Source organism: Homo sapiens, chromosome 13 (genome assembly GCF_000001405.40).
Source record: "Homo sapiens chromosome 13, GRCh38.p14 Primary Assembly".
Taxonomy (NCBI): Eukaryota; Metazoa; Chordata; class Mammalia; order Primates; family Hominidae; genus Homo; species Homo sapiens.
The window spans coordinates 32,655,436-32,683,152 of NC_000013.11; the positions used below are offsets into that span (position 1 = coordinate 32,655,436).

Here is a 27,717-nt window from a genome sequence, read left to right on the forward strand (position 1 = left end):
TGGTGCGATCTTGGCTCACTGCAACCTCCGTTTCTCAGGTTCATGTGATTCTCCTCCCTCAGCCTCCCCAGTAGCTGGGATTACAGGTGCCCGTCACCACGCCCAGCTAATTTTTGTATTAGTAGAGTGGTTTTACCACGTTGACTGGGCTGGTCTTGAACTCCTGACCTTGTGATCTGCCCGCCTTGGCCTCCCAAAGTACTGGGATTACAGGCATGAGCCACTGCACCCGGCCTGCCCTCTTTTTAATGGGATTGTTTTTTGCTTGTTAATTAAGTTCCTTATACCTTCTTGATATTAGACCTTTGTTCAATATATGGTTTGCAAATATTTTCTCCCATTCTGTAGGTTGTCTCTTAACTCTATTTTGCTGTGCAGAAGCTTTTTAGTTTAATTAGGTCTCATTTGTCAATTTTTGTTTTTGTTGCAGTTGGTTTTGACATCTTCATCATGAAATCTTTGCCAGGTCCTATGTCCAGAATGGTATTTCCTAGGTCATCTTCCAGGGATTTTATAGTTTTAGGTTTTACATTTAAGTCTTTAATCCATCATGAGTTGATTTTTGTATGTGGTTTGAGGAAAGGGTCCAGTTTCAGTCTTCTGCATATGACTAGCTAGTTATCCCAGCACCATTTATTGAATAGGGAGTCCTTTCCTCATTGCTTGTTTTTGTGCTTTTGTTGAAAATCAGATGGTTGTAGGTGTGTAGCATTATTTCTGGACTTTCTGTTATGTTCCATTGTTGTATGTGTCTGTTTTTGTACCAGTACCATGCTGTTTTGGTTACTGTAGCCTTGTAGTATACTTTAAAGTTGGGTAATGTGATGTCTCCAGCTTCTTTTTTTTTTTTTTTTTTTGCTTAGGATTGCCTTGGCTGTTTGGGGTCCCTTTTGATTCCATAGACATTTTAAGGTAGTTTTTTCTAATTTTGTGAAGAATGTTCTTGGTAGTTTGATAGGAATAGCATTTAATTCAGTAAATTGCTTTGGACAGCATGGCCTTTTTAGTAACATTGATTCTTCCTATCCATGAACATGGAATGATTTTCCATTTGTTGTGTCATCTGTGGTTTCTTTGAGCAATGTTTTGTAATTCTTGTTGTGGAGGTCTTTTACCACCTTGGGTAGCTGTATTCCTAGGTATTTTATTCTTTTTGTGGCTTTTTTTTTTTTTTTTTAAAAGACAAAGTCTGGCTCTGTCACCCAGGCTGGAGTGCAGTAGCACAATCTTGGCTCACTACAGTCTTTGCCTCCTGGGTACAAGCAATTCTCCTGTCTCAGCCTCCTGAGTAGCTGGGACTGCAAGCACATGCCACCATGCCTGGCTAATTTTCGTATTTTTAGTAGAGATGGGGTTTTGCCATGTTGGCCAGGCTGGTCTTGAACTCCTGGGCTCAAGCCATCCACCCGCCTTGGCTTTCCAAAGTGCTGGGATTACAGGCTGAGCCACTGTGCCTGGCTGGTATTCTGTTCTTGATTTGGCTGTCAACTTCAACATATGTGGTCATCATTATGTGGTGAATCACATTTTAAAAATTTGCTGAAGATTGTTTTATGGCTTATTATGTGGTCAGTTTTAGAGTATGTGCCATGTGCAGATGAGAAGAATGTATATTCTGTTGTTTTGAATGGAGAGTTCTGTAGATGTCTGTTAGGCCCATTTGGTCAAATGCTGAGTTTAGGTCTGAATATCTTTGTTAGTTGTCTGCCCCAATAATCTAATTCTGTCAGTGGAGTGTTAAAGCCTCCCACTATTATTGTGTCATTATCTATGTCTCTTCATAAGTCTCTAAGAACTTGCTTTATGAATCTGTGTGTTCCTTTGTTGGATGCATATATTTTTAGGATAGTTAGGTTTTCTTGTTGAATTGAACCCTTTATCAGTATGTAATGCTCTTCTTTGTCATTGTTGGTTTAAAGCCTGTTTTGTCTGAAATTAGAATAGCAACCCCTGCTTTCTTCTGTTTTCTGTTTGCTTGGTAGATTTTTCTCCATCCCTTTACTTTGACCCTATCAGTGTCGTTGCATATGAAACGAGTCTCTTGTAGACAGCATACAGTTGGGCCTTGCTTCTTTAACCAACTGACCACACTGCACCTTTTAATTGAGGCATTTAATGTGTTTACATTCACGGTTAATATTGGTATGTGCTGGTTTGGTCCTGTCATCATGTTGTTAGCTGGTTATTATGCAGACTTGATTGTGTGGTTGCTTTATACAAATGTAGATACAAATGCAGATATAGTAATAAGTCAAAAATATGAGATGGGAATAGATTTAGAAAGATGGGGAAAAGCAGGTAATTACAATGATTGGTAGGAAGCTTGACAAGTTGACTTCTAAGAGTCTAAGCTTCTCTGTGGTATCTATTGTATTGTCATTTGGCAATTAAAAAAAATTGTTTCCTAAACTGCTCTTGCTATTTAATTACCATATATTTTACTGTTCCAGGAAACCTGATCAGCTCTCAGTCATTGCAACATTTTTTATTCTAAAAATAGCATAAATTTTAGCTATCTCACTTTTCAGGTTTATTTGTTTAACTTTTGCTATAAGATGAAGTTTTTTGACTTTAAGATTATGGCAAATGATTTACTGTTTTCCTATGAAGGATAGTAAGATATTTAATGTTGTTCATATAAAGGTGTACTTTTAAAAAATTTTAGCCAAATAAAATTTTTTTCTGGTTCTTTATAGTTTATTATGATATGTACACATGAGTGCTGAATAAACTCTTGGAGTTTCATGGTTATTTTCATTTAGCGTTCATAATCTAAATGGCACTTTGTCTTTTTTTATTTAAGGATATATTTATGTTTATAACAAGACAGTTGAAGGGGCTAGAGGATACAAAGAGCCCACAATTCAATAGGTATTTTTATTTACTTGAGGTAAGCAATATCTTGTATCTTGAGATGACATTTTAAACTGATTTTTTTGTTTGTATATTTTTAATAATCAAAATGCTTAACTTTCACTTTTTTACACCTTATTTTTAGAACATTGCTTGGGTCAAGTCATATAACATATGCTTTGAGTTAGAAGATAGCAATGAAATTTTCACCCAGCTATACAGAACCTTATTTTCAGTTATAAAGTAAGTTTATTTTATTAAGTATGTAACATTAAAAAAAGGTAACAAATTTTGAACTTGTAGGTGAATCTGCATAAACTGTTACAATGAATATTAGAAGGCTGAGAGATGTAACTTTTAACACACTTTATTTTTATACATGTTTCAAAAATGAATAGAGCTTAATTTTGTATTATATGTAATTATTGGTTAGAGGAGTGGCATAAGGCCAGTGTAAAATTTTTTTGGATTGCATTATTTGTCTATAAAACATACATACTGACTTCTTAATGCATATGGCTATTTGAGCTTTTTGTGTATGCTTTAAAATTATTTACTGGAATTAACTTCAGAGCAATTCAATTTTCTGAATTTAAGGCAGAACTGAAGTTGCTTTTGATGTAATTACTTTTGATTGTGAGACTGGTTAAAAATTAGGGAAAAATCTAAGAAATGTAGTGTAAAAATATAATTTGTATACTTTTGTATGATGTGGGAGAGAGGGAAGCTTTAAATGAATATACATAGAATTTTATTTAATATTTTAGTATTATTTTTGTAAAGCATAATGCTTGTCAGTGTCATCTTAAGAGTAAATCCTGTATATCTCAGTTGTAATTGAAACAAAATCTGTTTTGAATTGCAGCAATGGCCACAATCAGAAAGTCCATATGCACATGGTAGACCTTATGAGCTCTATTATTTGTGAAGGTGATACAGTGTCTCAGGAGCTTTTGGATACGGTTTTAGTAAATCTGGTACCTGCTCATAAGGTGAGTAGCAATGTATACTGTAATGTGTCTAATGCCCGTTAATATTAAGGCTTAAAATTTGTGCTTAGGTTCTAAATATGGTTTATCCTGCTTTAATCTTTTAGAGAATCTGTTGGTTTAGTTATATTAATACATATTTATTGTGATTAATGTGTAATAAAAAGATACACTTAATAACTAATAAGAAATTGTAGATTTCATGTAATAACATATTTGTTATAATTCAGTTGCATATGGAGTGTATTTCAGGGAGTGAGTTAGTAGTAGCTACTTAGATGCTGTTACATAACTTACTTGTCAGAAGATGGAACCAAGTAGGGCCATAACTAAAAGATAGTGATAATGTAGATAGAGAGGACTGGTGAAATTTAAAGGGAAGTCTCTACTAAATGGGAGAGGAGTGATATGTTGGTGACAGTGTTTCTTGCCTGCGTGATTAATTAAGATGTTATGTTTGTATGTTTTTGTGTGTGTTTGTGTTTTGATTTTAGAAAATGACTGAATCTTCAGTTAGAAATACGGTTCTGTTATTTAGAAGGGGTTTGGGTTAAGGAGAGGAGGACAGGAATCACCAGTGTAGTTATCTGTGCAAATATAAGACCTCTCTGGCAAGATATAATCTCAGTGTAGAGACTGACATGAATAATGGTTCAGTGAAAATGATCTCATAATTCAAAAATTCCAAACTCTTAAAGAAAACAGTCTCTGAATCCTGAAACTTAGCAGACACTACAAATAGCAAGATTAGAGTTCAGAAATTCAGATAATATATTTATTAAATAAAATCTACAGGTCCTGGTGTGCTGTGGGTTCCTAGTCAGCTGCCATCTTGCTCCTCTTCCCACCCCTCACTCCTTCCTGCTGCACCTTCTGAATGCAGCCCACCATGTCCTGACTCTACCCAGCCCAGCCTCACTTCTGCCTCTGGTGACCACAGGAGAGAAGGGGGAAGCTGGCAAGTAGACCTGCAGAGGCTCTTCCCATCGTCTCCTTCACCTTGGTGCCCACATCTAGTTATAATCCCCATTAATCCATTTTATTAAATGAGCTGTAAAAATCAGCCTGGGGCCCAGCTAGTGACTTCTGCTGGGCAAATGAACACCTGGCCTGATGCCACAAGCTCTACTGCCTGTGTGCTCAGGTGAGAAGGCAGAGGTCATGAATCCAGCCACAGAATGCCCTAGGGAGGAGGACTGAATTCCCAGGGGAGACCTGCTAAGCCTTTCAAATGGGCTGTGCCTGACTGGACTCTCAGCCTAGCTCTCTGGAACCCTCAACCACTTGTCAACTGTGCCAAGACAAACCCTCCTAGACACAAATCGAGTATCTAGCTTGGCTTTCTGCACTGAGCAGCTGACTACCAGAGGCATCTGAGGCCTCCATCCGTTGATTGTCGTGGAGAAGACTTTGTTGGGGAAAATAAACCCACCCTTCCTGATTAAACATTTTCTCCTTGGCCTTGTTGTAGGGAGAGGACCTGTAGGTACTTCCAGAAACTAGAATCATAGGATCTTCCAAACTTCCTGTCTCTAAGTACAGGAGCTGGAATCTTTCCACCAAGTACTTATAGATTCAATCTTTTGCTTAGTCCATTTAGCTTAGGGTGGAAATTTCTCAAGGCAATTACTGTTTTGCAGCCCTTTGCATAACTTGCATAGCTCCTTGTAGTTTAGTGAATGACACTGAATAAAACATTCTGACAAAATTTTTAAAAAAAATTATAAATACTCTTGAAAGGAGTAATGATAAGAGGTAAAAAATGTAATAACTAGACATATTAAAGGAGAAAATTAGGAGAAAAACTCATTAGCAATGAAAAATGGCTGGGTGCAGTAGCTCATACCTGTAATCCCAGCACTTTGGGAAACCAAGGTGGGTGGATCACCTGAGGCCAGGAGTTCAAGACCAGCCTGGCCAACATGGTGAAACCCTGTCTTTACTAAAATTACAAAAATTAGCCAGGCGTGGCAGCATGCGCTTATAATCCCAGCTACTCAGGAGGCTGAGGCAGGAGAATTGCTTGAACCTGAGAGGTGGAGGTTACAGTGAGCTGAGATTGTGCGACTGCACACTCAAGCCTGGGTGACAGAGTGAGACTCTGTCTCAAAAAAAAAAAAAAAAAAAAAAAAACAGAAAAAGAAAAAGAAAAATGACCACCAAAATATAAACCTTGATTGAATTATATGTAAAACATATTTAGAGAACTGGGATAGATGTGAGGAAATTATACAGGCACAGTGAGATGAAACATGAAAGGTAAGGTCTGACATATTTAATAGTGATTTCAGAATAACAAATGGAGAATTGAGAAGAGATGATATTCAAGTAGAAGTTAGCTTGAAATATTCCAGAATTGGTTAAAGCCGTTAATTTATGGATTAGTGAGAAAAAGTACCATGACTAGAGTAAAAAAAAAATAAAAAGAGGAAATCCTTGTCCAGGCCCATCCTGAAATTGTGGAATACTGAAAGAGAAATCATATATAAAGCACCCAGAATGTAAAGGCATGGCCCTTACCAAGGAATGAATGCTAAACTGATTACTGACTTCTCATTTGCAGTGTTAGAGAATAAATGAATCTTATGTAAAATAGAGTGGTTTAATGGAATTAGTAAGTGATATGATCCTGGGATGATCAGGAGTATTTGGAGCTATTAAGTTTGAACTTTAAATGAACCATTTATGTTAAAATTTTAAGGATTATAATAAAAGGAAGAGTTACAGTAAATGTAAATGACCTGTATTTACCATGTAAGACAGGTTCTCAGATTGGATTGAACATAATCTGGGTGATTATTTTTACTAAGAAATACAAATAAAACACACTCACAAAAGGTCGAATATAAAAGGATGGGAAAAGTACTTGCCAGGCAAATATAAACCAAAAGAAAACCAAGATAGCTTATATTAGACATAGTAGTCTTTAATGGATAAAGAAGAGTTTTATATAATGAGAAAAGATTCAGTACCCAGGAAGATATCTAAACTTGTGTGCACACAGGCTCAAAATATATAAAGCACAAATTGAAAGAATTACGGACAGAAAGAAGCAAATTCACTATTCGTGTTCCATTTTAACATGTGTTTTAGTGACTATAAATCAGGTAAACTGAGTTTATAAAAATATTGAGGATTTGAAACAAAACTACTAATTTAATAACAAGCATAATTAACAGAAAGAAGCAAATTCACTATTTGTGTTCCATTTTAACATGTATTTTAGTGATTATAAATCAGGTAAACTGAGTTTATAAAAATATTGAGGATTTGAAACACAAAACCACTAATAGCAAGCATGTAATCTGACAAAACATTAAGTCATAATGGCAGTTAAAATATTTAGAAATGATAATTAAGTGATACATATTAAAACTTGCAGGATACACTTTTAAGTGTAACTCCATGGCTAAATGTACATTTCAAGGAGTAATAAAAACATGAGAATAAACAAATTATACAAGGAAGAAAGTAGTGAATAAATGAAATTAGTGAAATAGAAAACACAGTGACATTCCATCAAAACCCTAAGTTAGTAATTTGAAAAATGTTTTAAATAAGCAAATGCTTGGAAAGCTAGATCACAAAAAAGGAAATGGTGTCTATGTACAGTTTTAGAATGAAATGAGAAACAATGGACATGAAAAAGATCAAAAGACAATTCCATGAGGAATATTTTATGCTAACATATTTGAAATTAGAATAAATTCCTAGAAAATATAACCTGGCAAATTTGTCTTGAGAGAAAATCAAGACAAATAGCCTATAACCAATACATTTAGTTGGTTTTAAAAACTCTGCCTATAAAACAAAACTCTTCTTTTCAAACAACAATAGCAACGATAATAGCAGCAAAAATAATTACAGCAGCAGAACTCAAACCAACAACAAAAGAACCTGTAAACCCGTTACCAGGGATTTCTGTTGATTATTTAAGTGGCAAATATTCCTAACTTTCAGCACACTTCCAGATTATAGAAAGGACTACTCCATAACTCATTTTATGAGCAGAGAATAATCTTCCTAGGGAAACCAGGTGCAAACCAAGCAAGAAAAAAAAAAAAAGGCTAATTGATTCCCAATATAAAATAGTAATTTCCAGAATGATTTAAAATACTATTGATAATCACCAAATTGGCTTTATTTTAGGAATACAAGGATGGATTAACATTATGTTAGTGATAGACTAAGATACTTGTTTAATAGATCAAAGAGAAAGACAAATTTTAATAGATATAGAAAAAGATGGATACAATTCATTGTAATTTATAACTTAGCAAATTTGAAATAGAACTTAAATTGATAAGGAGATATGTATGATACAGTATTTAATGGTGAAATGTTGAAGCATTCTCTTTGATGTGAGGAACATTGTAAAAATACTGCTTCTGTTCAGGCAAAAAGGCAAACATGCTTTAAAAAAAATTTGTATTTATTTATATATTTTGAAATTTCAGTAGCTTTTGGGGTACAGGTGGTTTTTGGTTACATGGATGAATTGTATAGTGGTGAAGTCTGAGCTTTTAGTGCCCCTGTCACCTGAGAAGTGTACATTGTACCCAATGTGTACACAATGTGTTTTTTGTCTCTTGTTCCCTCTCTGCCTTCTGATTCCCTGTAGTCCATTATATCACTCTGTGTGCCTTTGTGTACCTATAGTTTTGTTTCCACTTATAAATGAGAACACACAGTATTTGGTTTCCCATTCCTGAGTTACTTCACTTAGAATAATGGCCTCCAGCTCCATCCAAGTTGCTGCAAAAGACATTATTTCATTCTTTTTATCGCTGAGTAGTATTCCATGGTGTATATATACCATGTTTTCTTTATCCACTCATCAGTCAGTGGACAGTTAGATTGGTTCCATATCTTAAGCATGCTATTTTTAATCCTCATTATAGTAGGTGTGTTATATTAGTGGAATAAGACAAGACATACAATATAAGAGGATTGGAAGAAACTGAACTGAAATATGATTGTGCAGAAAACACAAAATGGTGTACAGACAAATTTATAGAAAATATAAGAACATTCTAGAAGGTTGTGAGACATAAGGTACAAAAACCTTCTAGCATAATTTCAAAAAATTTTCATTTGTAGCTTTAACAAAGATGTGAGGTACTTAGAAATTTAACCGTAATGTGTATCACCTTTATGTTGAAAATTGTTATAATTGACTGAAAAGCATAATAGAAGACTTACATATGTTGAGAGATTTACTGTTTATGGAAGGGGAGACTTAGTATCATAATGATGTCAATCTTCTGCATACTGATCAATAATTCAATCAAAAATAGAAACCGAGGCCAGGCTCACTAGCTCTCTCTCATTATCCCAGCACTTTGGGAAGCCGAGGCAGGGGAATCACTTGAGCTCAGGAGTTTGAGACCAGCCTGAACAACATGGCAAAACCCTGTCTCTAGAAAAATTAGCTGGGCAAGTGACGCATGTCTGTAGTCCCAGTGACTTGGGAGGCTGAGGTGGGAGGATCGCTTGCAGGGAGGTCAAGGCTGCAGTGAGCTGTGATCACACCACGGCACTCCAGCCTGGGTGACCAAGTGAGACTCTGTCTCAAAAAGGGAAAAAGAAAAAAAAAAGAAAGTGATAGCATGTGCACTTGTGTGTAATTTGACAAGATGAATCTAAAACTGATGTGAAAGAGCAAATGACCAATAATAGCCAAACAGTTTTGAAGAAGAATAAGAAAACAGGGACCTAATCTTGACATTATTTTCATGTGTCCCTTTGGCTATAATCAGTCAGTGATAGACAAAGGGACATATGGAAATAATGGAGAATTTCTGAATGAAGGCATCCTTATGTAGAAGCTGAGAGAGAGTGGGTATTACAAGTTATCAAAGGGGGAATAAGAAATTATTTAATGAATGGTTTTAGGACAGTTTAGCACTTATATGGAAAATAATAAAAATTAGCTACTTAGACCATACATAAGAATAAATTACAGGTGCAATAAAGGTCTAAATGTGAAAAGTAAGTTTTTAAAATTTTGTTTGAAAATAAACGTCTTTGGGGGCTGGGCACAGTGGCTCAAGTCTGTAATCCCAGCACTTTGGGAGGCCGAGGCGGGCAGATCACGAGGTCAGGAGATCAAGACCATCCTGGCTAACACAGTGAAACCCTGTCTCTACTAAATACAAAAAATTAGCTGGGCGTGGTGGCGGGCGCCTGTAGTCCCAGCTACTTTGGAGGCTGAGGCAGGAGAATGGTGTGAACCCGGGAGGCAGAGCTTGCAGTGAGTTGAGATTGTTCCACTGCACTCCATCCTGGGCGACAGAGCGAGACTCCGACTCAAAAAAAAAAAAAAAAAAAAAAAAAAGAAAATAAACATCTTTACAACCTCAAGATAGGAATGAATTTCTTAAGAAAGCTATAGAGAGCAAAGCCGTATGAGAACAGACTGATAAATTTGATTACATTAAAAATAAAAGCTATTTGTGGTAACCAATATATGGAATTGAACTGTGTCTATCAATGGATGAGTGTATAAAGAAATTGTGGTATATGTATACAATGGAATATTATTCCAGCCATAAAAAAATGAAATTCTGTCATTTGCGGCAGCATGGATGGAACTGGAGGTTATTTTGTAAAGTGATATAAAATGAGAACAGGAAGACAAATATGTTTTCACTCGTGGGGGCTAAAGAAAGGTCTCATGGAAGTAGAGAATAGAATGGTGGTTATCAGAGACTGGGAAAGGAACTGGGGAGGGGAGGAATGAAGTGAAATTAAGGAGTACAAAAATACAGTTAGATAGAAGGCATAGTTCTTTCTAGTATTTGTTTGTTTGTTTGTTTTTTGAGATGGAGTCTCACTCTGTCACCCAGGCTGGAGTGCAGTGGTGCAATCTCAGCTCACTGCAACCTCTGCCTCCCAGGTTCAAGCAATTCTTCTGCCTCAGCCTCCCAAGTAGCTGGGAGTATAGGCATCCGCCACCACGCCCGGCTGATTTTATTTTTATTGGAGACGGGGTTTTGCCATGTTGACCAGGCTTGGTCTCGCACTCCTGGCCTCAGGTGATCCACCTGCCTCTGCCTCCCAAATTGCTGGGATTACAAGTGTGAGCCACAGTGCCCATCCTCTTTCTAGTATTTGATAGTACAGTAGGGAAATTATAGTTAACAATAATTTATATTTCAAAATAGCTAAAAGAGAAGATTTGTAATGTTCCCAGGACAAAGAAAACATAAATATTTGAGGTGATGGATATGTCAGGTACCTTGATTCGACTATCATTCAGTGTATACATGTATCAAAATAGCACATGTATCCCCAGAATAAGCATAGTTGTTACATATCCATAAAAAAAAAAATGAAAAAAAGTCTCCATACTTTGACACCATAAATATTGTGAAAAGACAAGTATAGACTAAGGTGTGTTATACATGTACAGACAGTTCCTGACTTAATGGTTTGACTTACTTTATAATGGTTTATTGGGGTATTAAATGCATTTTGACTTACTGTGGGTTTATTGAGATGTAACTTCATCATAAGTCAAGAAACATCTATAATTGATGAAAGTTTAGTCCATAGAATCTATGGAGAAAATATAAAAATAAATAAAAGCAAGACTAAACAGCCTAACTGAAAAATGGCAAAGATAAAATGTACAGAAAATTACTTCTCATTTACACAAGGAGACTTGTACAAGACATATAATTTAATGTCAATGAATAGGACAATCAGTAAAGAATCTAGTATATCTAAACAGCAGTTAGTATGAATGAAATAATAAAATACAAGCATTAAGGCAGGTAAATCTAAAAATATGCTGAGTAAAGAGTGTGAGTTTAAGGATATATACAGTGTTCCTGTTCTCTGGAATATGTTTAAACTGGGGTAGTGACTCCATTTTTTATCTTTACTTCCTTGTATCATTATCAAAGTCTCTTAGAAACATAGCTTCTTATGATGTTTTTTCTTGTTATCTTCCGCCCGTACTTTACTATTTGTTGTATTTCCTGTTGTATCCTTTGACTTACCTGTGCTCTGAAATGTGTTTGAGTAATCTGCTTTTTTACAGCTGCCCAAAACTCCTTTGTCCCTCCCCGCCTATGGGATGCCCATCGCTGCCCACACTAGAACATAGTTCATTCTCTTAGGATATTTTGTGTTTTTTGGACCTGAAGTGGAACAGCTTGTATTTGTACTTAACTGAATTGATTTTGGGACTAGATCTAGAGTGACTCTATCTAATAAGCATTTATTGACCATTTCTGTGTGGTTTACATTATGTTATGAACAAAATAGGAAGAGAATATAATTATCCTTACGTGGATGGAATCTTAGATCCAGTAGGCCAGTTAGTCCTAAAAAAAGAAAAGTGGTTTTGCCTTCTCTCTTTTATTCCAATTGAGTCTTAGTTTTTTCATTCATTTACTCAAGTAGCATTTTGAATACAGGTAATATTTTGCTTTTCATAGTTAGAGATATATAATATAGATATTGTTTATGTTTTTCAGAATTTAAACAAGCAAGCATATGATTTGGCAAAGGCTTTACTGAAGAGGACAGCTCAAGCTATTGAGCCATATATTACCAATGTAAGTCTTACTTGTAATTGGTTGTCAGAAGGATTAAACTGAAAATTTAAAGACTTGCTAGAAGCAAAATTTCATCAGATAGTATATAGTTTTAAAAACAACAAATTTGTGTTGTTTTAACCCTTAAGTAATATATTTTCTTTCTCCTTCTTAAAATTATTCTTGCTTTATATTTTTTGGAAGGCTTGCTCTCATCCTATTTGTTCTTTTATCTTCTTTCAAATTGCCTGAGAACTTAAACAGTTTTATTTTGGTTAGCAAGATATTCTGTTTGTTTCTACTGATAGAAATAGAGTTAAATGTAATTAGATAAAACATATGGAACTTTTCATTATTCAGAGACGTTGCTTACAGGTTTTTGGAGCTTAAATTGATTTGTACAAGAAGAAGATATGAACTAATATTAAGACCTAGAAATTGAAGGCAAGTATGAATGGCAGTAGTGATTTAGTAAAAGTTGCTTATCTATTGCTATTCCTGGGGTAGATTCCATATAAATCTATCTTTTCTGGAAAAAAGGAACAATTGTAATAAAATGAGACCTTTCAGTATCACCCCAAATCTACTTACTTATGGTTGACTATCTTGTATTTATTTTTAGAAGAAATATTTTTTAGCTGCTAGGTTCACTGACAGAAGTTTATGGTAAGTTTTATTTTCTCTCCACAGTTCTTTTGAGTTCTACAGATTTAGGTGGCAGTATTCATATTATATTCTGTGTGAATGGTGCCTCCTGGAATACAAATGTAGAGTACAGTGTTAATGGTGGCCCTTGGAATTGTGTAACAGTTCAGTCCCTCCACCTGCTTTTCAGTTTCACTCACCTCCAGACAAGTAAAGGATATAAATTTGCATTCCTGAGTAAAGTAAGAAAGAAAGCCTTTAATAATTACTTATGCATTCTCCTAAAATTTGAGGGAGAGTTTTTCTTGTAGTATACACAAATTTAAAGTCAGTGTATGAAATATATCATGAAAAGATGTACTTTGAAAACTAACTACTTCATAAAACAGTAACTTAATAAATTCCAGCTTTTGTTTCTGGCTTATAGCCTTAGAGAATCCCAAGCATACGATGATTTGGAAAAATTAATTTAATTTGTAAGAAATTGTTTTGAAGGGTAAACTTTCAGAAGCTGTGGAATCAAATCTGTAATCTATCTTAATTGCTCCAAGATTTTCAGGGAACTTCCAATACTGGTTTCTGCAGTTTTGTAAGTTACGGGTACTGGCTGAAATAAATTGGTTGGATTGAGTTTTTTCATCATTGGCTTAGTGGCACTTGAAGTGTGTAGACCTAGACTTAAAACATTCTGTAATTATCCTTTTCCCTTGCTTCAAGTACTTCTAAATGACTATTTCCATGGGCCATTAGAGCACACTAGGTGAGCTCCTCCTGGTGGCCATTTATTTAAACTCATATTGCCAAGCCAGTTTTTTTTTTTCTTTTTTTTTGGAGGGGAGGGGGGACACATCTTATTTTGATTTCTTTTTCTGGCATAAAAATAAGAAAAGAACGCTATACTGTATTGATATCTCTACTGTTATTGGGGAAAATCAATATTTGATTGGGGCAATTAAAGGAAAAAACCCACAATAAATGATGATACTTGTTAGAGTTAGATGATTAGGTTCGTTATACTGTTCTCTCAAATTTTGTATGTTTGAAAATGTTTATAATGGAAGTTAAATAAAGAAAAAAAGGCTGAGGAAATATTTTTAACAATCCCAGAATACATCAAGGTAAAAACATTTCTTTATCACTTATACCTTGTGTTAATTTCCTGTTGTTCTTGCTTGCAGAAATAGAATCCTTCCCCCATGAACTCCCCAAACTTTCATATTATGTCTTTATCAAAAGCTGGGGAGCAGGGGCCAGAGTGTTCTGAGTACACATTGAATTATATACTTTGTCTCAGTACGTTGTCCACTATTTTCTTATTTCTCCCTGTTTTCTTGTTCCTTGCCTTATTTGAAGGTTAGCTAGAAAATAAGAATTGCTTTTTCCCTCCCTTTAGTTCCTTTTTGTCTACTTATGTTTCCATTTCAGACCTTTATAATTACATGTAAAATCACTTTCTAGTGGACTTAATCGTCTTGTAGTAGGGTAAAATTAGTTCAGTCTTAGAAATCATTCTTAGCCCTTTTGGACTTACAGTTAAAACAGCTATTATTTACTCATCCTCCTAGTTGAGAATTAACAATTAAAAATAGGAGTAAGATACTGAGATAATAACCCCACTTCTCTCTTCTGTTTTTCTTTTTCATTCACACATACAGACACATTCTTTTTTTTTTTTATTCGATAGTATTTCTTACATATCAAGACTTAAGAAATCACTGTGGTGGTATAGGTTATTTATGTATTAAAATTTGTTGTTGTTGTTGTTTGAGACAGAGTCTTGCTCTGTCACCCAGGCTGGAGTTCAGTGGTGTGATCTTGTTACACTGCAACCTCTGCCTCTGAGGCTCAAGTGATCCTCTCACTTCAGCCTCCTGAGTAGCTGGGACTACAGGAATGAAACACCATGTCTGGTGAATTTTTCCTTTTTTAAAAAACTTTTTGTAGAGACAGGGTTTCACCATGTTGCCCAGGCTGTTCTTGAATTGCTGAGCTCAAGCAGTCCGCCTGCCTTGGCCTCTCAAAGTGCTAAGATTATAGGCGTGAACCACCATGCCCAGCCTAGGTTATTTTTTTTTAAATAGAATTTGTTGTAACACAACAATCCAGGAAGCTAAACAGTACATATATATTTGTTTAAAAGGTAAGATGGAATATCAAGAACAAAAAGTACATGGTGATAATTCTAAAAATTTCCTACACGCATCACTTCTTAATGATGTTATTTTTCACCAGTTCTTTTTTTATCACAAATTTTAGGATATGGCAAAAAATTATTTTGTTGGACTGAAAAAAGTACATCCAATCCTTGTTGGAATAGGTAAAATTTGGTTAAATTGCTTAATTCCACTGAGCCTCTGTTTTTGCACCTGCAATGCTTGGGTGGTGGTGGAGAATGTGTTATTTAATGTGAAATATTTTGTAATTAAAATTAGCCATGTAAATGTAAGGTAGAATTTATTACTGACTGGTGACATCTTTCATTAGGAGACATTTGCTGTACAAAAAAATTAATTTGTAGTATGTAATTAGCTACGCTTTTGTAAATGAAAGAATTTTTGGAAGGAAATATTTTAATCAAATCTAAATCTACCTCCACTAAATTTTCACCTCTTAGGAAGGACTTGGATTGTTTTACCCATATTTGTATCATACTGTCTTTTGCATATTTTTTATTCATTTACCAAACATATATTCTATGCCTCCTCTGTGTCAGGCACTGTGCTAGGTAGGCTTTTACACATTGGAGAAGACCAACTTGGTCATTGCCTTTTTGGAGATTATAAAAGTGTTCAATACATGTGTTTTTTTATGGAATTTGTGAGAAATTAAACCAGGGAATGATTTTTTTCCCTTAATTTTTCAAATAAGTTTTTCCCAGACTGTTAGAAGAAGATGATGATGGTTTGACCACTTGGGTGGTGAGATTGGGAAGGATTATTGTTCTTTATTAAGGAATATACTATTTATTAAGTAAATAGTACTTGTTTTACTATTTTTTAAGCAGGAGAAAATTTGTGAATGGAAGCAAAAAAGCCACTTTATTTTCAGCCTGAATAAGAAATTAACCTTTGATGTCATGAAATTCTCTTCCCATAAAATTGATAAATAGGAAGGACAAACAAGTTCTTTTTAAAACCAAAAAAGAAAGAATAGCAAAATAGAATTTGTTCTTCTTTCTTCATGGCTAGGTAGTCTGGTCTGATTCATAGACCTAAAAAAGTCACATAAAAACAACCCAAGAAGTAAAAGTAAGCAGAAAAGACATAGAAATATGAAATCCTCCACTCTGTACTTTCAGTATAGAAAGCTAAAGCCTAATTAAGCCAGTTGTGTGTTAACTGTCACAGAAGAGATTAGGGCAGCTTGTGTGGTATAAAGAATCCTTGACTCCTTCTCCGCTGAGACTCAGGAAACCATTGAGGATACATGGCAGGGTATGCTTTTGGTTAATTTTTTATGTTTTTGGAAGATTTTATATAGAAAGAAACTTGACAGTTATGCCATGCATCTTTGCCAATTTCAGTAGTAATATGATAAATGATCTGAGTGTGGAAACTAGTTAGAGCTAGCTATATGGTAGGGAAAAATTGTTTAAATTTGGATTTTCCTTGTGTTTGTGTGTGCTTTTAATTGGATTTTAATTAGTGTTGTAAACCGTGTAGATATGTACACATCAGAATGTAAAAGAAGACAAAGGATTAGGAAGAGGTAGTTTTTCATCAAAAATAAAAAATTACATATTTCAAACATAGAATTGCCTTCTATGAAAATGTAAGAAGGCTGTATCTATGGGATGATGTTTTCTTCCATATGTACTAAGGTGAACAAGCTATTATCCCTCACCCTTGGGAGATTAAGACATTGTATTAGGGTCTTCTAGAGAAACAGCCAATATTGAGTGAGTGTATGTATATACAGACACACATATACATATATGTGTGTATATTCACACATAGTGTATGTATACACACACACAGAGACACATGTATATGTATGAGAGGGAATTTATTAGGGGAATTGACTTATGAGATTACAGAGTCTGAGAAGTCCGAGAGTAGGCTGTCTGCAAGCTGGAGAACCAGGGAAGCCAATGGTGTTACTCTCAGAGGCAGAAGGCAAGGCTTGAGAACCTAGCAGGGGACTGGGCTATTGGTGCAATTTCTGGAGTCCAAAGGCAGGAAAACCTGGAGTTCTGCTGTCCAAGGATAGGAGATGAATGTCCCAGCCCAGAGGAGAGTGAATTCACTTTCCTTTGCCTTTTTGTTCTATTGGGCCTTCCAGCCTATTTGGATGATGCCTGCCCATACTGAGGGCAGATCTTTCCACTCAGTCTACAAGCCAATCTCCTCTGCAAACATCATTGCAGACACACCCAAGACACGTTGCTTTACCAGCTATCTAGGTATCCCTTAATGCAGTCAAGTTGACACATAAAATTAACCATCCAGAAATATGCACAAATAATATAGGATAGAATATAATCAGTATTATAATGGGGAGCAGAGTATATTTGAAAAGTAGAATGTTTATTGAAATGTTTCAGTCTGTTTTATTGTATACAAGATGGATTCCATGTTTTATCTTTCATGTAGCCTATATTGGTTTCCCATATAATGTTAGAAAATATTTTGATATGCCTAGTTTGACTTTGTATAAAATAATGATGAATTTGGTCAAATAAGATTTTAAAACATTCAACTTGTCTCTGGTTTTTCTACTAATGATAGGCTTTCTTTCTCCTCAAAAGTTTTTTAATCAGGTTCTGATGCTTGGGAAAACATCTATCAGCGATTTGTCAGAGCATGTCTTTGACTTAATTTTGGAGCTCTACAATATTGATAGTCATTTGCTGCTCTCTGTTTTACCCCAGCTTGAATTTAAATTAAAGGTAACTTGTAAAAATAATATGATTCTACCAACCAAGTTATTAGCAAAGAGCATTATTTATAGCTTTTTAATTTTTACAGTAGTTTTAACTGAATGTAAGAGATGAGGGGGAAGTATTACTATTATTTCTTCACGTATTTGTGCCGTGTCTGTTTGTGAATCTTTAGTGCCTGGCAGGTGCCTAGCAGATAGTAACTGTTTAATAAATGATTAGCAAGATGGTATTTTCCTCCAGACATTTTCCAGATAAATTCTAGGATTTGACTAACTTTTGAAGTCTTAGCTGTACATCAAGCTTATGTTTTCAAGGCACAGTTTATAGTAGTTCCTTTGACCACTGAGGCCATAAAAATAGTTTAGAGTTTTTTATCCACATAGTGTGAAATGCTTTCCCTTTATGCATATTATCTCATGTTGCCTATGTTGAAAGTTTGTTTGCTTTTTATATAGTTGTGTGAATTTTTTATTTTTTTGAGACAGGATTTTTTTTTGTTTTGTTGCCCAGGCTGGAGTGCAGTGGTGTGATCTTGGCTCACTGCAACCTGTGCCTCTCGGGATCAAGCTACTCTTCCACCTCAGCCTCCCAAGTAGCTGGGACTACAGGCTGTGCCACCACCCCTGCTAATTTTTGTATTTTTTGGTAGAGACAGGGTTTCACCATGTTGGCCAGGCTGATTTCAAACTCCTGACCTCAAGTAATCCACCTGCCTCGGCCTCCCAATGTTGACATTACAGGCATAAACCACCACCCCTGACCGAGTGAAATTTTTTGGTAGCATGTTCCTAACTGTTTTGACATTAAATTATGCTGTAAAATTGAGCAGAATTGGACAATATAGTTTTCTTTTTCAAATCATTACAATAAAATTAAGTAAAGCTGGTTATAATTATTAATCTTTGTGGACCCAGAAAAGTTCTTAAATGATGTTTGTGTCTAAAATTTTTGATTTTCTTTCAAAAACAAAACAGTCCACATTGGTAATGTGAACACCCCAAGTAGCCAGTAAATAAGTATTCTTCTTATATTCTGGAGTAGTTTTTGGTATATTTCTCAAATGAGCCATTCAATTAACTGGCCTTCCTGTCCCCTTTTTAATGTGGTTAGTGATTTGGGTGAGGCAGCAGGTAGCCACACCTCTAATTATTTGTTGGTTTATATGATTTTCTGAAGTAAAAATATTGAGTAAATGCTATGCATGTTCCTACACACTATGAGAAATATAAAAATAAGGAAATTATCATCCCTGCTTTCAGCAAACTTAACATCTAGTATGAGAGGAAGAGGAAAAAAAATCCAGATCTAATATGAGGCCAGATATTATAAGTGTCATAAGAGATACAAACAGCGTACAATTGAAGCAAAGGAAACAGCATGCAGAAGCATATAGAGGTAGGAAGGTTCCGGGTGAATTTGTGGAACACAAAGAATTATAATTGGAAGATAGCATAAAGTAAGTTTAAATCACTCCTGGCTGCATATTAGAATCTTTGCTTGTTAAGCCTTAAAGAAATAGCTGTCCAGGCACTGAACCAGACTAGCTGATTCCGAGTTTTGGGGAATAGAGGTTTTTTTTTTTTTGTTCTTCTTATTTTAATTTTTTTTTTTTAAGTTTTGAGATGATTCTAATGTACAGCCAGGCTTGAGATATAATTACTTAGACGAATAAAGAAAGAAATAATAGAGATGAGTTAGGTCATATTGTCGGGGCTCTTGGCATGGCAGGTTGTGGCATTGGTTTAAAATTTAAAAACAATTTGTGTAGTGACATTTCCATAGCACCTTGAATATCAGTGCCTTTTGATATACCCAATTCCCACACTTTATGTTCAAGTCTAGTATTGTGACTGGCTCATTCACTTATCCATTGAGTCATTTGTTGGAAGTGCCAAAATCAATAGTAAAATTGAGTTCACATCCTTAGGGTGCCCCCAATATAATATATAAAACAAATTTGAGTTTTCACAGGTTTAAGGCCTCTTTTTACTGTTGAGCTCCTTTTAGAAATCTGGTCTGTGTAGATGAAGTGTCTTACTGGGAGACTGTAGCACATACTAATAGAGCTAAAAAGTTTATTCACACAGAGTTTTCTGTTTTCTGTAGGCCTGGCCTCTGTCAGTGTCTGTTCTGAAAAACCACACATAGTTTTTCAAGGGTCCTGGGTAGGTTTTATAAGAGTTCATTTTTTATTTTAACTCTGAATAGAAATAAACTTTAATTGTAGGAGGGGCCTCTAACATTGGAACAAACTTTAAAGATGTATTTTCATGAAAGGTACTTCTTTAATGGAATTTGAGATAATTAGAGCATTTATGATGACATTTAATTTTGTGAAAAGTATAGTGAGCATTTTTATGTAATTTTTCATTTAGAGTTCATGAAAGATTTTCTGTGGAATTGGAGCATCAGGGAAATTATGGCAAAGAATGGGCAGCCTTATTCTGAATATCTACTGCATGGTTTTAAAGCTGTGATTGTGTTTTATTTTAGAGCAATGATAATGAGGAGCGCCTACAAGTTGTTAAACTACTGGCAAAAATGTTTGGGGCAAAGGATTCAGAATTGGCTTCTCAAAACAAGCCACTTTGGCAGTGCTACTTGGGCAGGTATATGATTTTGGTTTCCCATTTAAAAGTAATACATTATTCTACTGACCGTTTTTTTAAGAAACATTATCCACATTTAAACTGTGTTCTCTGGAATCATAAAAATGAAGGATTTTTTATGTTGAAAGTTTTGAAAGTTGTTAATGACTGGCTATATTTATATTTACTCTTTTTAGTCTTTATCCTCAGTAATTTTTAAAAGATAATACATTTTAAAGCTATCTCTTATGGTATTATGACCATGAAGTTAATATTATTACTTTAAGGCAGTGATTAATTCCAACTGAAAATACGTCTTTGGGAGATATAGCCTCTCTACAAATTAATTACAATTAATTAGGTTGTTTGGAGATATTGACAGGATAAGAGTATTCACAGAGTGAATAAAGAAATGACTATTTATATTTCTCTTCCTAACTTCCTTCTGTATTACTCAGTTAAAGGAAATGATGGCCTGGATTCCTTGCATGGTTTGAATGATGCATAAAATCCCTGAAATGGTTGCAGAATTTTGAGTGTGTTTGTGTATGTCACTTTTCTGTGAGAGGTATTCATCCCTGACCTTGAAATATTAAAAGCCCGACAAGTGCCTTGGCCGAAACCCGCTCTGACTCAGAAAAAAAGAGAATTTTTCCCCTCAAATTATTCTCATAACAAATAATGCAGTTAAGTCATAAACAAACAAGATCTGGCCGGGCGCGGTGGCTCATGCCTGTAATCCTAGCACTTTGGGAGGCCGAGGCAGGTGGATCACAAGGTCAGGAGATCGAGACCATCCTGGCTAACACGGTGAAACCCAGTCTCTATTAAAAATACAAAAAATTAGCCAGGCGTGGTGGCAGGCACCTGTAGTCCCAGCTACATGGGAGGCTGAGGCAGGAGGATGGCCTGAACCCGGGAGGTGGAGCTTGCAGTGAGCTGAGATGGCACCACTGCATTCCAGCCTGGGCGACAGAGCGAGACTCTTGTCTCCAAAAAAAAAAAAAAAAAAAAAAAAGATTTAAAGGCCCTGATTTTATATTCTTTGTGTTGAAATATTTGCAATGGTATGACCACTTTCTTTACATTTTAATGAAAACTGTCAGTGATTACTGTAAATTTAATATTTTGGTCTCATTTTTCTGATTTGTTAAAAGAGGATATAAGTTGTGATAAGTGTTTGTTAAGCTTCAGATCTCCAGTCTGATTTCTTGATTCTTATTTAGCTCAATAATTACGTTCAGTCAGTCAAGTTAAGCCAACTTTTTTCTTTTAAATACAATGGAAAGTTTTTAGACAGTAGGAAAGAATATCAGTTTAAATTATGCAACTTAATTTAAAGTTTAATATTTTAAAACAAAAATACTTTTACTGTATATATATTTATTATATCTTTAAATTAAGACTTGGATTAGCTGGGATGTATTTTATTGGTTTTTAGCTGGAGAAATCCTAATGTAAATGTATATGTCACCTTTCTATTATGTTGTAATTTTTCCTTTTAATATTAATAACATAAAACTTACACAGTATTAAATAATACCAACTTTAAGGAGTTAGTCTTTTAAAAGACGTCTTAGTATATTTATTTTTAATTGTTGTAAGGTGCATGTTTACCTGAGAAATGATAACGTATATAGGATTGAGTACCTGAATTCAAAACACTCAGGAAGCTGTATGGGACCAGAGGCTAGATTTTATAACTTTTGGGAGGGGAGGTATACTTCATAGAGCATATGCTTTTTTTTTTCTAATTTTTATGAGTAATTTGGTGCTGGTTTTGAAGACTTTTTCCCACTCCTTTATAATGCTAACTTTAGTTTCTTAGGTGTTGAATGATGTAAGATTTGGGAGCCTTTAGATTTCATAGAATTAAGACATATGAAAATATTGAATGGAAAAATCTTGGATTCACTTTAATGTTCTTGATACTTAATTTTTTTAAATTACTATTTTACATTCTGTGATAAAGTAATGTATACAGACGGAACATCAGTGGTTGAGAGACAGCTAAACATCATGTGCTTCCTGATGGAAGAACACAGTGCCATCTATGGTATTTTGGTAGTCTGGCAAAAAAAAAAAATTGACCCAAATATAATCAAGTTTTTAGATCTAACTACCAGTTTACAGGATTTAGAAGAGAGAGGAGCCTGTTAATTCACATCAGAATGATACAATTAGCGAAATCTAAATTATGGAATAAAACCATACACATATACAGCAGTTGCTCTAGCAAATTACAGGAAAAAGAGTTGGAGGGAAAACAAAAGATTTGAGGCTTAAGTGACATATCAACCAAAGAATTTTAACTTTTTAGGGATACATACATATTTACAGATGTAATGTAAAAAGTGGCCTTGCCGTTAGTGGCAGTGTAATAATGGTGATGATTAATTGGATAGTAGTAATTTGGGTACACTTTTAGATTCATGTAATATACTGTAGGGTTTAGTGTGAGATCTGCCATACATTAGTGAATGCCCTATATTTAAAAGGGAATACTTTAGGGAAAGTTTTCTTTCAAACATAGTTTGAGATTTATGATGTTTCTATGAACTATATATGCACACTTGCATAAATAGATGTATTTGAGAGTATAACGTTGATAGGAACTTTTTTATCATTCTTATATTTGAGCCAAATGTATATGGTTTATTCAGGTTCCTTAAAATCACATAGTTCTCACAGGAGATTGCTCTAGTTTGTATAGAGTTTCCAGAGCATTCAGACATACATGTATATCAGAAACTTTGTAAAATGGTTTGGTTCTACTTTGCATTTTCCTTCATAAACTGTTTTTTCTTTAATTAGATAAATGTAAATTGGGTACAGATTTAACACATGTCTGTTTCTCTTATTTTGAAGCTCACTCTGTGCTTTTATATTTTATCAGGTTTAATGATATCCATGTACCAATCCGCCTGGAATGTGTGAAATTTGCTAGCCATTGTCTCATGAACCATCCTGATTTAGCAAAAGACTTAACAGGTACTATATATATGTAACAGCAAATATTCTTACGTGCTCTTCAGTGGAAAAAAATAAGTTTCATAGGGGGAAAAAAAACCCCTTTTTTCGGGGGTGGTAGGTGAAGTCTTGTTTTAGTTTAAGGTCATGGAAGTTGTTCTCTGAAGCTAGATTTTTTTTTTTTTTTTTAAAATAGAGACAAGGTCTCGCTATGTTGCCCAAGCTTGCTTAGAACTCCTGAACTCAAGCTGTCCTTCTGCCTTGGTTAAATTAGTTTACCATGACTCACCTAAGTTCTTAAAATATTGAAGAACATTAGTCTTATAATCTAGTCAAAGTCAAGACCTGTTCAAATCCAAATGTCTAAAATAAGTTTAGAATTGTCCTTAAACTAAGAAACTAGTAATTGTTCCTGGAGACAGACATTTTCATAGATGCTTCCAACCTATGTAGGAACTATGCTGTAGAAATTCTAGCTTCAGGCCGAGCACAGGCCAAGGTGGGCAGATCACCTGAGGTCAGGAGATCAAGACCATGCTGACCAATATGAAACCCCGTCTCGACTAAAAATACAAAAATTAGCTGGGTGTGATGGCATGCGCCTATAATCCCAGCTACTCAGGAGGCTGAGGCAGGAGAATTGCTTGAACCTGGGAGGCAGAGGTTGCAGTGAGCTGAGATTGTGCCATTGCACTCCAGCCTGGTCAACAAGAGCGAAACTCTTTATCTCAAAAAAAAAAAAAAAATAAATAAATAAATGAATAAAACAGCAGATATTTTACCAGTTTCATCCTTTTTGGGAGACATCCCACTTGGAGCTTTCTGATTTCCTACTCAAATTTGCAGTGCTTAGACAGCTTGCTCTGAGCTTCTGCTCTACAGCATTGACCTTAGGGCCATCCATTCTTCCTCCCATCTTTGCTCTCCCCTTCCATCCTCCTCCCTTCTTTTTCCCTCCTTTCCTCTTCGTCTGTGAGTGTGTGTGTGTGTGTGTGTGTGTGTGTGTGTCTGTTTCTACACCTCCCCTTTCTCCTTCCCTTTTTCTCTGGATGTTCCTTTTTCTTTAGCATCCTTTTCTTGTGTTGCTAATACAGTATTTTCTCTGAGAGTGTCAATGGTAGGTAGTTTTTTGGGGAATTTTTCTTTTTCTTCCAAAATGTCTGTATCTGCTATTTGTTTTTTTCACCTTATATTTGCTTTTGTCTTTTTTTCCATGTTAAAGGCTTTCCTCAAATGATTGGCAATCCGAGGCCGTCTGCTCATGATTAAGAGTGGGGGGGCTAAATCAAAAGCTGTTTGGAAAGCCCTGAGTATATGCTTTCCTCAAATGATTGGCAATCTGTGGCTGTCTGCTCATGATTAAGAGTGGGGGGCTGAATAAAAAGCTGTAAACTATTTGGAACACTCTGAGTACATGGTTGGGTCTGTCAACTCTGAACTTCACTTTTGGGTGATCAGAGTGAGTTGTTTGTTGGGGAGCCCTTAGTTTAGATACTTCCTCTTCATCCTGTCAAATTTCTAATAGAAGAGTATCTTATCTAGAAGTTAAAGGTGAGTTACTAATGTGTTTGGGAAAAGAATGATGGGTTTCTGCATTCACATTTCAGATTAGTTGTCACATAATCCCCTTTTGGGTATGGTATCCATGCCCTCAACCGTTTGGGGTCCCCCAGTTTAGAGCTACTGTTTTATATTTTTATTATAGTATTTATCTCCAGACTTCTTTTGGTGTGGAATAGGGGCAATCTCCTTGATGGATTTCTCAAACAGCCTTCACCCAGTCCTTCCTTCTCTTCCTTGTTTTAAGATCCAGAAGTTCTTGTTGCTAGTTCCTATGCCTTTTGAAGAGTGTAGTGTATATTGAGTTGGTTGCTTAGTTGTGATTTTTAAATTGTTTTTTAAGAGACAGGGTCTTACTCTGTTGCCCAGGCTGATTTTGAATTTTTTTTATTGAAATATTTAAATCATGTTTTTCAGTTATTAAGTAAAACCAGACCCCTGCTTTTTTGCTGTTGATAATGTGTAGCAGTGTGCACCAATTTGATTTGTACATGGCTAAATAGAATTTCTCTTTCACTGAATTTGCTGTCATGTTAGGTTACATAGGCCGCAAAGGATTTATACTGACTGAGTAGGAGAGAGGCAGTGCTGGAAATATCCTGCCAACGTATACGTTTCCTTCTTAGGCTCATATTGGCTTCCCATCTCCTGTTTCCCAGTAGCCTTAGAGTCAGTCATTTCTTGCTTTTTAACTTCTACTCACTGTTGTTACAGATGAGGGCTTGCGGTATCTCATTCTATAGAAGATTCTTTCTTTCTCCCCTAGCTGAAATATGATGGCAGGTTTCAGAGGTTTTCACTGCTAGATAAAGTGATAAAAGTATAAGAGTAATAAAGCAATCCTTGCTTTTGTTTGAAAGAGTGAGGCTTGAGGCTGGGCACGGTGGCTCATGCCTGTAATCCCTGCACTTTGGGAGGCCGAGGCGGGCAGATTGCTTGAGGTCAGGAGTTTGAGACCAGCCCAGCCAACATGGTGAAACCCCACCTCTACTAAAAAATACAAAAATTAGCCGGGTGTGGTGGTGCACACCTGTAATCGCAGCTACCCGGGAGGCTGAGACAGGAGAATTGCTTGAACCTGGGAGGCAGAGGTTGCAGTAAGCCGAGAGATCGCGCCACTGCACCCCAGCCTGGGCGATAGAGCAAGACTCAGTCTCAAAAAAAAAAAGTGAGGCTTTGATTTTTTTTTTTAGTAGTTTCAATCACATCTTCAATTATTTTCTTTTAAACCCCATATACCCTGTTCCATTTTACGTTTCTCCAGCTTCATTCCTGACTAGCAGGATCATTTCACTTTATCCGTGTGAACCTTATACTGTAGTGCTTCTCAACCTTATCAGACCCAGTACCTCCCTTTTTAAGCAAATAATTTGTAATTCTCCCTTTGAGATCCTTAAATAAAATGAATAGATAAAACAATCCACTTAAAAAGTTAAAAAATTAATTGCCCTATTTGTAATATACAGGAGAAACAAAAGGGAAGTCATTTATAATAAAGTAGTATATATTGTAATATTTAAATGTTTGGATATGACATACAGAGATAACATGCCTCCACAAGTTTCTCACTTAATTATTCTCTGCCACAGGGGTATATGGAAAGCTCTGTGAATCCTAATTGATAAGGTATTTGGATGACTACCTGAACAGCTAACTCAGATTTATCCATATTTTAGAGAAAATATCAGAGTCTGTTCTACAGTTTCCTTTTTTTTAACTTAAAAAAAGTGTAATTAGCTTAAAATATACAGATCCTGAGTGTTCAGTTTGATGTTTGAAGAGAGTGAATTTCCATGATGCCAAAAAGTCCCCCTGTATCCCCTTCCAGTTAGTTCTCTCACCATTTTCTGGTTTCTATTTCTGTAGGTTAGTTTTGCCTGTTTCTGAATTTCATATATGTTGAATCATACAATGTGTACTATTCTTTTTGAGGGTGGGGAATGGAGAGAGATCTGGCTGCTTTCACATAACATGTTTTTGAAATTTATCCTGTTTTGTTAATTTATTCTTTATTATTATTCCGTTGTATGAATATACCATAATTTGTTTACCCACTTCTTTTGATGGTTATCTGGGTTGTTTCTGATTTGGGGCTATTAATAGTGATTACTGTGAATAGTCTTATACAAGTATTTCTGTGGGCTTATGTTCTTATTTCTTTTTGAAAACAGTAATTAAATTGCTGGTCATAGTGTAGATACATGTTTATAAGAGACAGTGAAAACAGTCTCCATATTAGTTATACTGTTTTACATTTGTACCAGCAATGAATGAGAGTTCCAGTCATTTAGCGTCCTTGACAACATTTTGTGTTTTCAGTCTTTTTGTTTTTAACCATTCTTATAGGTTCTTCAACTATTTTAAATGTTTTCAGTGTTCTTCCTGGAAATAAGCTTGTGTATTGTTTTCTTTCCCATTTGGGTTTCATCCTTTTCCTTTGTCCTGTGACATTTACTTGTTGTCCATCTGCCAAAATTTTGTTGACACATCTCTTGCCTGTGATCTCTTGTTGTGATCTCTTCTCTTGTTATTTGTCCCTTTTAAAAAACTTTCTTTTTTTTTTTGAGGCAGTCTCGCCCTGTCACCCAGACTGGAGTACAGTGGCACGATCTCAGCTCACAGCAACCTCCACCTCCTGGGTTCAAGCGATTCTCCTGCCTCAGCCTCGCGAGTAGCTGGGACTA

At 35.4% G+C, this 27,717-nt stretch overlaps 1 protein-coding gene across 9 annotated transcripts in view; it reads left to right on the top strand.

The window, feature by feature from the left end:
* Positions 1 to 27,717, top strand: part of PDS5B (PDS5 cohesin associated factor B) — a 191,568-nt gene that overhangs the window by 68,984 nt on the left and 94,867 nt on the right. For 8 of the 9 annotated variants that reach the window (XM_005266298.5, NM_015032.4, XM_017020452.3 and 5 more), the window contains exons 4-10: positions 2,804 to 2,890; positions 2,999 to 3,096; positions 3,719 to 3,845; positions 12,329 to 12,409; positions 17,781 to 17,921; positions 20,409 to 20,524; positions 23,400 to 23,494. In XM_005266298.5, coding sequence (XP_005266355.1) covers positions 2,804 to 2,890; positions 2,999 to 3,096; positions 3,719 to 3,845; positions 12,329 to 12,409; positions 17,781 to 17,921; positions 20,409 to 20,524; positions 23,400 to 23,494 — 745 coding nt within the window. Of the gene's footprint in view, positions 1 to 2,803; positions 2,891 to 2,998; positions 3,097 to 3,718; positions 3,846 to 12,328; positions 12,410 to 17,780; positions 17,922 to 19,180; positions 19,311 to 20,408; positions 20,525 to 23,399; positions 23,495 to 27,717 lie in introns of those variants that run through there. The other variant, XM_011535002.4, reaches the window with a different exon arrangement.